Consider the following 13,849-nt stretch of genomic DNA (forward strand, 5'->3'; position numbering starts at 1 on the left):
CCACACAATGCAACTTCTCAGGTATAATCTTTTACCAAACTCAAAAGGTTGTAGAAGCAAAACCATGAGCCGTTGGAAACAACATTACTTAAAAGTAAAGCTCAAGCAGTCTTCCATTCATTCCCAACTTTAACACCTCTGTGTTGGGCCTTGGAATTTTCCAACTGTAATTTCTAAGTTTTCCGAATTAATCTTTACTATCTGGAAATCTCTAATCTAGTGTAAAAGGGTTGAAATGAGAGAAGAGGATTGGGAGATTTTTCTTCATTCAAATAGAAAATGTATGACTCAAAAGCATTTGAGTAAGCTGACGAAGCTGATGTTCCTGTTCCAAGATTTATTCAAATTTAAATCATGTGGGATGTGCAGTCCCCAGGCCTTTCCTCCCGCCTGGCCTGGGAAGCAGAGCAGAGCTTTGGACCACTTTGGTATGAGCTGACAGTGAGCTTCAGATCACTTTCCTGATGACTGTCTGCCTCTAAATGCTATGTGTTAAGTTGTAATTTCTTTAAGCCATTTCCTGAACTTCACTCCTTTAAGCATTTCTAAACAACTAGGATATCATTTTAAAATAATAGTGTTTAATTTTCAGGGCAGAGTACCCAGAATTAGGGAGAGTTGTGCATTCCCACTAACAGTTACAGGCAGAAAATAAACTCATTGTCCCCAGTAGTCCTTTTCTTTCCTTACCCTTTTCCCCTTAGTTTGTCCTATAGCTTTTCAAATTTTGTAGATTTTTTGTCTCTCAGTTCTGCTAACAGATTGGCTTTCAGATGCTTAGTGACACCATTGCTTGAATTAAGAAGCCAGAGGGAGAATGTTGGGGAGAGTGTGTTATTCCTGAGAGTTTTAAATTTAGTTCTGCAGCCGGGCACAGTGGTTCACACCTGCAATCCCAGCACCTTGGGAGGCTGAGGCGGGTGGATCGCCTGAGGTCAGGAGTTTGAGACCAGCCTTAACATGGTGAAACGTCGTCTCTACTAAAAATAAAAAAATTAGCTGGGTGTGGTGGCAGGCGCCTGTAATCCCAGCTACTCGGGAGGCTGAGGCAGGAGAATTGCTTGAACCTGGGAGGTGGAGGTTGCAGTGAGCCAAGATCATGCCATTGCACTCCAGCCTAGGCGACAAGAGTGAGTCTTCGTCTCAAGAAATAAATAAATAAATAAATAAATTTAGTTCTGTTGAACTGAACTATGGTTTGCTTCTTGGAGGAATGGAACAATATGATTTAGAGTTTCATCATTCCTTATTGGAAGAATAATAATACCACTTTATATTTGTCTCGATTTTTAGTTGTTGGTAAAGCATTTAGATATCTTTGATCCTTTCTATAAGCCTAAAACTAGGTAAATGGTATTATTATTGTCATTATTTTATTATTATTATTATTATTATTATTATTATTATTATTACTCCTGTTACCATTTTATGGATGAAGAAACGGAGACCCAGTGGAAGTAAATAATTTTGCTCAAGATGGCCAAACAAAAAGTGGTAGAGCTTTTGCACTTCTTCCTAGCTCCCCTGACTCCTGGAACATTGCTGGACAGCACAGTCAGCCCTCCATATCTGTGGGTTCTGTATTCATTAATTTAACCAACCACAGATCAAAACCGAAAAAAAAAAGGATAGTTGTGTCTGTACTGAACATGTACATGTTTTCTTCCTTGTCATTATTCCCTAAAGCATACAGGATAACAGCTATTTACATAGCATTTACATGGTAAAGTAATGTGTTATAAGTAATCTAGTGATGATTTATATACAGGAAGATGTGTGTAGGTTGTATACAAATACCACACTATTTTATATCAGGGACTTCAGCGTCTGTGGATGGATGGTGTCTTCTGCATGTCCAGGAACCAGTTCCCAATGGATACTGAGGGACAGCTGTACTTCTTAACCTGATACTGCAGGTTAAGATTCACAACATCGTCTCCATATTATAGTTGGGTTTTCCAATGCCAGTGTTGTCTGTGAGCCTTGTTAGCCTCTCCTTCCCTGCAGAATGAGTTTCAGAGAACAGAGGTGGAGAAAAATGTATCTTTCCCTCTTAGAGGCTTGTTGCACTGTTCATTAACCATGCTGCTATTTTTATGAGGCATTTCAGAGTCATATATCTGAGAGTTCACAAAGAAACAATGTATGACAAGAATAATTCTTGTAGCAGTTTTTGTGAGGCGGAGGATGGTAGGGAGAAAATTTAAGCTTATGTCAGGACATTACATTAAGTAATTTCTACAGTGTTGGGGATGAGGGAGAATCCCCCCTAAGAGGAAAAGGAAGGTACTTCTAGAAGCGGGTGAGAGTCTGGCTTTTCCTTGGCTTTCCTCATAGCCACATGATGGCATGTCCTGCCTGACTTGGAAGGGAGGCCTCAGCGTGTCCTGAAGTAGTGATGTGGAGGCGCAGTTGGTCCCTGGATACAGGCACAGGCATATCACACTCACCTCCAGCAGGCAAGGGGGAATTACAGCTTCGCTTTTCCTTTTCTATTACACACCAGTGGGGAAGCCCTCCAGTGCCATTCCTAAGAACAAGGACATTTTCTAGTTAGGCACATAAGGATGATCAAGATAAGCTCAAAAACTAGGAGCCACATTGGAGAAGTCAGGTTTAAAGTGTGCAGAGAACATGACAGAGAGTGGACTGTGCGCCATTTGTCCAGTCATGCTTGTGCTGTCCTCCCCTTGCGCTTGTACTCAGTCTTGCCTCTGATTGGGGTGCCCTTCTCTGTTTCTGGCCAGAGGCTCCAAGTCTGTAAGGCCCAGTCCACTTGCCATGTTAAGAATGTGATCTCTCCCCACTGTGAGTTCCCATGGCCCCGTGTGCTTCCATTACAGCAGGCACCAGATTTTACCTTGAAGTGTAACCATTTGTGCACACATCTCTGATATCCGTCAACATTTCTCACATCACCAATTAGGTGCTGGGCGCTGTGAAAGAATGTTAGAAAGGAAGACTTAGAAAATGTTTTCTTCTTTTTGTGAGGATGTGGAACAGGTAAGGCAGAGAAGGAGTAAGTAATGATAATCCAGAGGAAATAAGTATTGCAGTGGGGTCTGTGCAAACTGCACAGTTCCATGAGAGAAGTGCTGTGGGGCCAGGGGTAAGAACACTTGATTGTGTTCCTCAAGGATGAGATTGGCTGGAGACAAAAGATGGAATGCAACGGTCTGTATTTATTTGCATCCCAGAGTAGACCCTGTGGAGGGGGGCCAGGATTTTATCTGACAACTTTTTTTTTTTTTTTGCCAGTCTCCCCTCTAGCCATAAATAGTTATTGTAAGGAAAATTAAAGTGATCCAGGTTGTATCCATGTGGGCTGTCTTTTATCTGGCATAGCATTTTTCACATGCTGTACATTCAATGAATGTGTTATTGTCTAGCTATTTTCTTTTTTTATGGAAACAAACAAACCTTTTTTTTTTTCTCTTTTTGAGATGGAGTTTCACTCTTGTCACCCAGGCTGGAGTGCAGTGGTGTGATTTCAGCCCACTGCAACCTCTGCCGCCTAGGTTCAAGTGATTCTCCTGCCTCAGCCTCCCAAGTAGCTGGGATTACAGGCACCCACCACCATGCCAGGCTAATTTTTACAGTTTTAGTAGAGATGGGGTTTCGCCATGTTGGCCAGCTTGTCTCAAACTCTTGACCTCAGCTGATCCACCCACCTCGGCCTCCCAAAGTGCTGGCATTACAGGCGTGAGCCACTGCACTTAGCCCATACAAACTTTTTAAAAGTTTATTTACAAGTTTCCCCCCAAACATATCTGTAAGCTGGTGAATAGCCAAAATCGTACTATAGCAATACAGACAGGAAAAGGACATTGACTTTTAGGATCCTATTTCTTCTCCTCCCTTCCCCATGCCTCAGGTCTAGCACAGCACTGGGGCACAGCAAGCGCTTAGCAGATACTGACCTGGCTCTCATGAAGCCAGGTGGGCACTATTGATTGGACCCAGGCTTCGCTTAAGGTAGCAGGAAGCTGGTTTAGAGGAAGGAGAAGAAAACCTAGTCCCTTTTAATCTAATGAATTAAAATAATATTTATGGGAAATATTTGCTTTATTCCAGGAAAATGTTTGAAGTAAACATTTCCTGCAAGCTGTTGAATTTATATAATAAAACATTGGTTTGGAAACCTTAATTGTTTTCACTGAAGTGAAAATTAAGCAGAACATGCTTCCCAAACAGCCCCTTGTCTCAGTTTTGTTGCCATTGTAATGTTCAAAGCAGGATATTGTGGCCATTGAGGTAATTTTCTCTTTATTGGTAACTTGGAAATGAGCAAGGATCATGCCAAAGTTAGTTATAAAAGAGGAGGCACTCATGGCTCCTTGTAGTTTTATAGCAATTCAACCTTTGTAGCGTCCTCCTGTTACTATTTGATCTTCACAAACTTATGCATTAAAGAGTCAAGTTTATCCCCATTTGACGGATAAAGAAATTGAGTCACAGTGAAGGTAATTAACTTCTGGAGGGTCAAACAGGGAGTTTGTGGAAGAGGACCAGGCTCTTTACAGCCCCAAGCTCTTTTCAAAGACCATACTGCTGCTCTAGAAAGCACTCTTTCCTCCTTCAGGAATTAAAGCACTTTCACGTCTGTGAGATAATTTAACCTTGCAACATCCCAGTGGGGCCAGCAGGTTAGGTATGATTATCATTTCCCTTCCAGTGATGGGAAATTAAGTTACACAGGTTAAATGGTTTTGCCAAGACCGTGCAGTCAGTGTTGGAACCAGGGGATGGTGCCCAGGCTTCACAAACACTGAGCCCACTCTTTTCCTACCACACTAAGCCTTCTCAGAGGAGAGCCAGAGGAGCTTCTGATGCCTTGAAGACAGCTGTGAAACATCTTGCTTCCAAGAGGGCCTTGCTTTCCTAGCACCCACGCCAGATTGTGTGAATGCTTGGTTCTATAGTCTCAGCGGGTCATGCAAATCTCCAGTCCTACGATCACTAAGAAACAAAGCAAAAGGGGGCAAAGCCAGATAGATTTTACCAGCCTGTTTGGATTTTGTGTCCAGTAGAATTAGCAAGTGAAAGTTGTAGGATTGCTACAGAAGAGTTGCTTAGAAATCAATTAACGTGACAAACTGAGGTGCCTCAACAAATAAATTATATGGAGAGATAAAAGTTGTTAGGACTAAACACAGGAAGAATTTGCCACTTGTTTCTCTGTAAAAGGTAAAAACATAACAGTGAACTGTGTCTAACTTATGTTAAAAAATTGAATTTGGTGAGAAGCCTAGTTTTAATAATATTTCATATGATAATTTAAACTCTCTAACTTTTGCCTATTTAACCCCATCTTGTATTCTTCCTAAGAGATGTGTCAACACTAAAACTTTTCTTAGTTATTCCAGCTGAATATGGCAAAGCTACAATAGCTTTTCCCAGATGCAGACTCTTAACACAATCGCTGATATTCAGTAGAAACTCTTTGGATAGCAGATTTGGGAAAGAACCTTAAGGCCAGCCTTTAGCCCTCTCAAATTATAGGTAGAGAAACTGAGACCCTGTAAGGTTCTCAAAGCTAATTAGTCACAGGGCTAGCCCTCAAACCCAGGCTTTCTGGCTACAGATCTAGTATGATTGTTGAGACTGGGCCGGCAGCTTGTGGGCACCTGCTTGGTAGGAGTGAGGGGGAGAAAAGTAGTAGGGTGTAAGCCTTGCCTACTGTATATCTTCTCAGCGTTCTTTATTTTTTATCCATTTGTGTGTCTGTCTCCCATACTATACTGAGTTCCATGAGTACAAGGGACTAAGTCATACTCGTCTTGGTATCTTTAACCCTAAGCACTTAGCCTGTGATCTAGGAAGCCCTCAAGGGTTTGTTGCACTGAACCAGTCTGTTCTGTGTCAAGGTCAACTTACCGGAAGGGGCTGCAGGTAGTACAGCTCCTTAAAGCACCTTCTATTACTAGTCCTTCAGCAGAATCTTACCCAGTGAGTAAACCCATGCAAAACTTTTGCATCTCTCCTGAAAGCAGAACAAGACCTGCCCCCATGAAAAGAAAGAAATAGGGAATCCCTTTATAATTAGATTTAGTGGGCAGTGGTGAGATGTAGTAGAGATGAAACTTTAATAGACACATAGTCTTTGGGTGATGCCAAAATTAATCTAACTTTGTGGGTTAAAATGAATTTTAAAATTTTTCTAAATGTTCATATGTTTTTCTCTGTATGTTGTTAGAATTGTCATCGGGTTCTTTCTAAAGGCTGTGTGAAAGAAAAGAGCAAGCCAGGTGCGGTGGCTTACACCTGTAATCCCAGCACTTTGGGAGGCTGAGGCGGGCGGATAACCTGAGGTCGGGAGTTCGAGATTAGCCTGACTAACTTGGAGAAACCCCATCTCTACTAAAAATACAAAATTAGATGGGCATGGTGGTGCATGCCTGTAATTCCAGCTACTTGGAAGGCTGAGGCAGGAGAGTCGCTTGAACCTGGGGAGGCGGAGGTTGCTGTGAGCCTAGATTGTGCCATTGCACTCCGGCCTGGGCAACAAGAGCAAAACTCCGTCTCAAAAAAAAAAAAAAAGAAAAGAGCGAAAACATCTTTAGTACTGGTTCTTGCCCTAGGACAGAAGTGGCTGTTTGCTGTACCTCTCAGTGGACACTGAAAATGTGGATGTGTCCAGTTGCCTGCTGTCCAGCAACCCTGGAAGAACTTGTGATGGCTTTGTCTTCGTTATGAGAACACTTTGATCTGAACCCCTTTCCTTTTCTGAATCCTTTCCCTTTTTTTTTTTTTTTTAAGACAGTCTCACTGGCTGAAGTGCAATGGCACCATCTTGTCTCACTGCAACCTCTGCTTCTTGGGTTCAGGCAATCCTCCCAACCCGGCCTCCTGAGTAGCTGGGACTACGGGAGCACACCACCACACCTGGCTAAATTTTTTTTTCTCGTAGAGATGGGGTTTCTCTATGTTGCTCAGGCTGGTCTCTAACTCCTGGGCTGAAGTGATCCTCCTGCCTCAGCCTCCCAAAGTGCTGGGATTACAGGCATGAGCCACTGTGCCTGGCGTCTGAGTCCTCCTTCTAAAGGGAACCCACTGCACAGCATCTGGCTGCTGCCAACAAAATGACTGCCCCACCAGTCCCACAGGTGATGAGAGTTTGCAATGGCCTTCACAGCTTAGTACCTTAGTACCTTTTCTCTCCTGGTAACTTAGAATGGAAGCCCCATGGGGGCCCACGCATATCTGCGAGGGTGCACAGGCATGTGGCAGAATGAGCCAGGGGCCACCCTCTTGTTCTGGAGGTGCTGAGAGCCGGCCTGGCTGGGGGCTGTAACTGTCAGGCTGACTCCCAGCCACACTGTCCTCCCTGGAGTAGGTGCTCGAAACCTTTGCTTTTTGCCTTTTCGCTTTAATCTGGAACGCTTGGGGAAAAAAAAAAAACAAAAAAACAAAAAAACAACAACAAAACAGTAGACCAAATGGTGACTGAGTCCCAACCCTTCTTCAGGCCAGATGAAATCATGGTCCCTGCTGGCGCCATTCCTCCATCTCAGAGCCCTCACTTGGGTTCAGACCCTCAGTCACACAGGGAGCCCCGCCACAGCTGAAGTGTTTTGTCAGAGCAAGATTGCAAAGAGTTAACACTTTTGCTTTTTCGGAAAGTTATCTGTGAAGAGTATTAGTTGTTTAATAAAGCGTGCCTGCCCTCCCGATGAACCCGCCAGTGACTCTGCAGCTGGGGTCATTCCAAGTTCACGCAGTGGACTTTTGACTGCCTTCTGTGTCTGTGAAAACAGTCGGCAGCTCCTGCGGGGATCATTCATTCAGGCCTGTAACACAAAACTATTGCCAATGGGCACCTGCTGGGGCAGCTTCCCGGGAGGGCTGGGAGGAAGATACCAAACTCATCAGGCATCTGTGGAGATAAGAGCGGCAGGGGATCCACTGGGATCCCGCTAATCAGGCCTGCACTTAGACCCCACTGCCTGGCCAACAGGCTGGTGTCAGAATGTATTAGGCAGCCCTGGCCAGGATAGGATGTGAGCTAATTAAAGGCCTTTTACAAAGAGGAGGAGGTAGGGGGTGGGGAGAGAGAGAGAGTGAGAGAGAGAGAGAGAGAGTGTGTGTGTGTGTGTGTGTGGAGGAGGAGGAGGAGGAAAGAAGTTTGAAGTGCATTCCCCAAATTTCCAGCACATTCTTTATTCCTCTGTTTTATCCCTCAAAACAGAAGAAAACAAATTAGAGGCTGAGCATTTGGTTATTTCTAACCTGAAATTGTCATTCATTGTGCCTGATGCCGTATTGGTTTTAACTGCTATTTTTGTGGAATTACATATACTGTGAAAGACATCTTTTGCCGCAGTCTCCCTGGGAACATCCTGTTGTTGAAATGCCGTTGGTCAGCTGCTTGAATTTTGCCCTTTTCTCTGACTTTGACACATCAAGGCAAAAATAGGTACCTATTTGTGGTGTGTTCTAGGTTTCTCCCTTTTGCTTGGAAAATCCACTTGCCAGCTGTGAAGGGTGCTGCTGGGAGGATGAAATGAGTCAGTGCACAGCGTGTGCTCTTAAAGTTTGGTGGTTGAGGTGGCGGTGGTAGCAGCTTGGCTCTGTGGTTTAAAATGCCACAGCATGCACTATCTTGAAAATACTCAGTAGTCCTAGCATACAACTGGGTTTTAGTTACACCTACTTAAGGAAGAAAGCTCATTTGAAAGTGTTTGATTTTCCTGTACTTTCGTTTGTTTATTTAGCCTGTGTATTCCCCCCACCCCCAGTAAGCAGCAAACTAACTTATTTATAGGCCTCAGGTATGTTTAAATCTGTGGTATTTTCTTAATCAGCCTGATAATGATACATTTTTGAAAGCAGTTTTGTTCACACATAAACCTAAGCCTTTATTATATTATTCTGATACATTCCACATAAGCTTGTCTGTGCACAAAGAAACATTTAGATTAATCTTGTACTACATGGTAACAATCCTAGGAAATTCCAATCAAAAGCCAACAACCTGTTTCCTTCATTCTGGACTGTTGGTGGGTTTGTTTTTGTCTGTGGTCTGATAAGGAGTAACAACAATGTTAATTTTGTATTTCCTTGGCATTTGTCTCACATAATCTTTTGTCAAAGTTGACCAGTAGGCTTGTCAGGCTTGCCATGCAGTTTATGAAATAAATAGTTACAATGGAGTAGTTAACTTAGCCCTGCGGAATATGTTAGTGTATCCTTACCGTAAGTGTTTAAAATGTTAATTACATTTATCTTTATTTCTCAGCATTGCTATACAGAAAACATGGGATAGACACTGATACTGATTGCCCAGTTGAAATAAGTTTTGAATTTAGTAACTGAATGGATAGCTTTAAAAATGGTACTAATATTTTGGGAGACTGAGGTGAGCAGATTGCTTGAACTCAGGAGTTCGAGACCAGCCTGGGCAACATGACCAAAAAAAAAAAAAGTCTAAAAAATACAAAAATTAGCTGGGCGTGGTGGCACCCGCCTGTAGTCACACCTACATGGGAGGCTGAGGTGGGAGGATCATCCGAGCCTAGGAAGTTGAGGCTGCAGTGAGCTGTGTTTGCACCATCACATTCCAGCCTGGGTGACAGAGCAGGACCCTGTCTGAACAACAACAACAAAAAGATACTCATATTTATTGACTGCTTCACTATGTGCCAGGTACTGTTCTGAGTCTTCATACAAATTGATTTGTTTAATCCTCATAACGACCCTGTGGAATGCTAGTTTGTAAATGAGGATACTGACGTTCAGAGAAATTAACTAATTTGCCCAAGGTTACAAGGAGAGCCAGGCTAAGAACCGAGATTCTCTGATTCAGAGCCCGTCCTCTTAATACCAGTGCAAAAGCAGCACTCTATCTAGTAGGCTTCATTCTCGAACCTCTCTGCGATATATTTGCAGGGATTAACCATGTAAGGCTGTATTATCAAGGGGATACAGAGAATTTGAGTCACAGTTTAAAGTCATTTCCTGTGCTACCCTGTGTTGTATAATTAGCTCTTTTGTAGATGCTGTACCATCCAGGCCAAAGTGTGTGGCCGAAACCAGGAAATTGTTCTAACCCTGTCTGAGACACTTAGTGAAGGAGTTTTGACTTTGCTCTAACTCTACACATCGAGCTGACTATAGATTTATGTGCAAAAAGCATAACCTCATGTTAACAGGTCTATTTATTGTGTCTCTAGAGCAAGTTCACAACTATGTATGGACAACTAGAAATGCCAGGCTCTGTGCTAGGCACAGGGGACACAGACATAAACAAAACAAAGCCCTCTCCCCTTGGGGTCACCATCCAGCAGGGGAGGAGGACTTGCAGTCACACACATGTGGGAAAGTGTTCCAGGTTTGAGTTTGGTGTCTGTGGGGGTTCCTGTAGGGGGATCTCAGGAAGGGGTGGACTCTTCTACCCAGGACAAGGAAGGTCTGTACAGGGGAAGGCACGCCGGTGCCCAATCCTGAAGTCCAAGGAGATGCTTGCCATGTGGACAAGAGACAGGTGGGGACAAGAAGAGGCACACAGGGAGCAGTCCCAGCAGGAGGGAGCCTGGGGTGTGCAGCAGCAGGACTAGGGAGGGGTCAGTGGAGCTTAGCAGGTGGGCCTCTGGAATGAGGAGCTGGCCTAGTGGGGAAAGACTGGCTCATTGTACATCCCTTTGTTTTCCCTTGTTTCGCCCCCACCCACCACGTGAATTTAAAGGGGAAGAGACTTAACTGAATGTTTCACTTTTTGAGCCTAGTATTGTTATTTGTCATGATTTGACCATAATCTGCATATATACAATGTTAACTATTATTTTTTGCAAGTTTTTTTTTGTTTGTTTTTGTTTTTGAGACGGAGGTTTGCTCTTGTTGCCCAGGCTGGAGTGCAATGGCGTGATCTCGGCTCACCGCAACCTCCGCCTCCCAGATTCAAGCAATTCTCCTGCCTCTGCCTCCCGAGTAGCTGGGATTACAGGCATGCACCGCCACGCCTGGCTAATTTTGTATTTTTAGTAGAGACAGGGTTTCTCCATGTTGGTCAGGCTGGTCTCGAACTCCCGACCTCAGGTGATCCACCCACCTCAGCCTCCCAAAGTGCTGGGATTACACGCGTGAGCCACCGCTCCTGGCCTTTGCAAGTATTTTTATGTGGGTAAAACAGTTATACCTTTCACTGAGCGGGCCCAAACAAACAAAAACAACAGCCTGTCACACCGTGTGTGTGTGTGTGGCGGCGGGAGGGGGGTACCCAAAAACCCTGACTCACTTTTTATATAATTAGAGCTAAAACCAAACCAAGTCATGGCTTGTTTGCAGTAGGTAGATTGCAGAGTTACCAAACTGTTCTTTCTGACCAGAGTGACTCAGTCTAGTGCAAAGTCATGAACTGCCTCCAGCATTTCTCATTAACCTAATATCTCCATCTAGAGTAGAAATTCACCCTCCCTAAAGCCCAGAGGAAACAAACTAAGGGTCCTTGTGAAAGGAAAAGGCCTTTAGACCCTAAAACAACTGATTAGAAAGGCAGGACGAAAGGAGGGAGGGGGGCATTCTTTGTGCTTTCCTGTGCAATTTGGAGCTCAACAGATGAAGTGTTTGCCATTGATCCCCAAACCACATTTTGGGAAACTATCTGACCCCATTTGACTGGCCATTCAACTGTTCCACCATTTTCTTTACACAAAGCTAAACTAGATTTGAGCTAAATTTGAGAGGGAAGAGCACATTACATATGGGAATGTGGTTCATGGTTTTCTAACCCAACCCTCCCCTCCCCCATCCATTCCAATGAGTAGATTTTTCTCTGGAAATCCATCCTTTCTTTTTCCATTCAAGGCAACTAACAGTATCCAATTTTTGATTCGTAGTTTTAGTTTTCCATGTATAGACTAAAAGTGGATGTTTATCTTGAGACAGGAATGACTGTTTTTCTGCAATTGTTTAGACTAAGGCTAGGTAGATTTCCTGTGGACTTCTTGGAACCTTTGAGCCCTGATGTTTTCCCTGCGCTCAAAAATTACAGTGCTGGATGGCATCTTTCCAGCTGTTGGGATGGGAGACAGGCTGGGCCCTTTGACTCCTAAAATTGAACTTAGGTTGAGCTGGTTGGCAAATGTGGCAATGAAAGGGTTCCCTGAGCAAAACCTGGGAAAATATCAGTCTGGATATACTCTCCTAGCCCTGGCTTTCTTAGCACACCTTGATGTGTGTTCCGTAGCTGTCTTCCCACCCCCATCCCCTAAAACTTGAGCATCTGTAGCTCATCACTTATGTCCTGAACTCAGTAAACTGAGTCTCTGTTATAGGACTTAGAGAAATTTTCTTATACTATGGACTGAATGTGTCCCCCCAGAATTCATATGTTGAAATTCTAACCCCAAAGGTGTTGGTGTCAAGAGGTCATTGGGGGTGATTAGATCAAGGAATTGGTGCCCTTATCAAAGAGACCCCAGAGAGCTAGCCCACCCTTCTACCGTGTGAGGTTACAGTGAAAAGATGGCCATCTAGGAAGCAGGCCCTCATCAGACATTGAATCAGACACCGAATCTGCTGTCACCTTGATCTTGGACTTCCCATCCTCCAGAACTGTGAGAAACAAATTTCTGCTGTTTGTAAGCCACTCAGTTAACGGTATTTTGTTGTAGCAGCATGAACACACTGAGACAGCACATAACACAGAATGCTGTTTCTTTAAAATTTTCTTGAGTTTTTACCATGTGGTTTACTTGTCTTTTTCATTGATCCTTCCCTGTTCAGTGGGGAAACACAGATCAGCACCCAGCCCTTGCCGACCACATGAAACCTAAGATCTCACCTCCTCCTCCCTGGCAAAAGAAGAATTAGATAATGAGAGGTGTTCTGGTTTTGAGAGGAAGTTAACAAGTGTTGGGACGCTTGCACGTTAGAGCTGGCTGCCTGTGCTCTGAGTCAGAACTGAAATTTTGACATGTAAAGAAGAACTAATATTTGATCCTCTCCTGTGTGCCAGGCATAGCGCTAGCCACTTCATAGCTTTTTGGCTATTCTTCTCCATCTCCTTTCTGCCAGTTGCTCAAATACTTTGGAGTCATCCTTGGCTCCTTTCGGTCATGCCGCATGTCCAGTCCCTCAGCAGATCCCGAATCTGAACATATCCCTCCCGCGCCCACCTTCTAGTCCTCGTTCATCTTTGGCCTGGTTTTTATTGTAGTACACTTCTCCTTGCACCCTTGCTTCCTACTACTGACATTGAACCTCAGTACAACAACTAGAGTGATCCTGTCAAAACATAACAGATTTGGTCACCCAGCCCCTCCAGAGGCTTCCCGTTTCACTCCACATAGAAAATTCCAGCTTGTGCAACCTCACGAAGCCCACGAGGTCAGCCTCCTGCAGGCCTTTTCTGACCTGGTGCCTCACTGTCTCACCACCCTCCACCCCTCACCAGCTCCTGCCACACTGTTCTCGCTGCTTCTCAACCCTCTGCCTTCAAACGTCCACTCCAAGGTCTCTGCACTCAGTGTTCTCTTCCTGGAATGTTCTATGGCCACATGGTTTTCATCTACATTTTCTTTATCCAAATGTCACTTTCTCAGGGAGGCCCTTCCTGACATCCCCTCCCCCATCTAAAATTGCAGCCCCCTCCAGCTATACCTCTTCTCCTCCTCCCCTCTTGTTTTTCTACTTTTGTTACTGCTTTTATTTTACTTCTTTATACTATTTATTTTCTGTACAGCTATGAATACAACTGAAATGTGACATGAATTTTCATACAACATACGAATTTTGGAGGGACACACTCAGTCCATAGTATATGTAAATCTCATGAGGGCTGAAAGTTTTGTCTGTTTTGTTCACTGCTACATCCCCAGCCCTTAGAACAGTGCCTGGCAAATAGTGCTAA

The 13,849-nt window shown here is 44.0% G+C and overlaps 1 protein-coding gene across 2 annotated transcripts in view, besides 2 other annotated features; it reads left to right on the top strand.

The window, feature by feature from the left end:
• VPS13D (vacuolar protein sorting 13 homolog D) overlaps positions 1–13,849 on the top strand; it is a 282,018-nt gene that overhangs the window by 195,840 nt on the left and 72,329 nt on the right. The gene's annotated exons all lie outside the window — the stretch shown is intronic.
• Positions 7,618–7,762: an enhancer, noted in NCBI's record as "145 bp enhancer 265 fragment used in the MPRA reporter construct; PK_construct_3723". NCBI's record gives its function as "activates an SV40 promoter by MPRA in HepG2 cells {active_cell/tissue: HepG2}" and the evidence as "EXISTENCE:reporter gene assay evidence [ECO:0000049][PMID:23512712]".
• Positions 7,685–7,695: a transcriptional cis regulatory region, noted in NCBI's record as "NFE2L2 motif; enhancer activity is reduced when this motif is scrambled". NCBI's record gives its function as "necessary for full MPRA enhancer 265 activity {active_cell/tissue: HepG2}" and the evidence as "EXISTENCE:site-directed mutagenesis evidence [ECO:0005528][PMID:23512712]".

Source organism: Homo sapiens, chromosome 1 (genome assembly GCF_000001405.40).
Source record: "Homo sapiens chromosome 1, GRCh38.p14 Primary Assembly".
NCBI classification, from domain to species: Eukaryota; Metazoa; Chordata; class Mammalia; order Primates; family Hominidae; genus Homo; species Homo sapiens.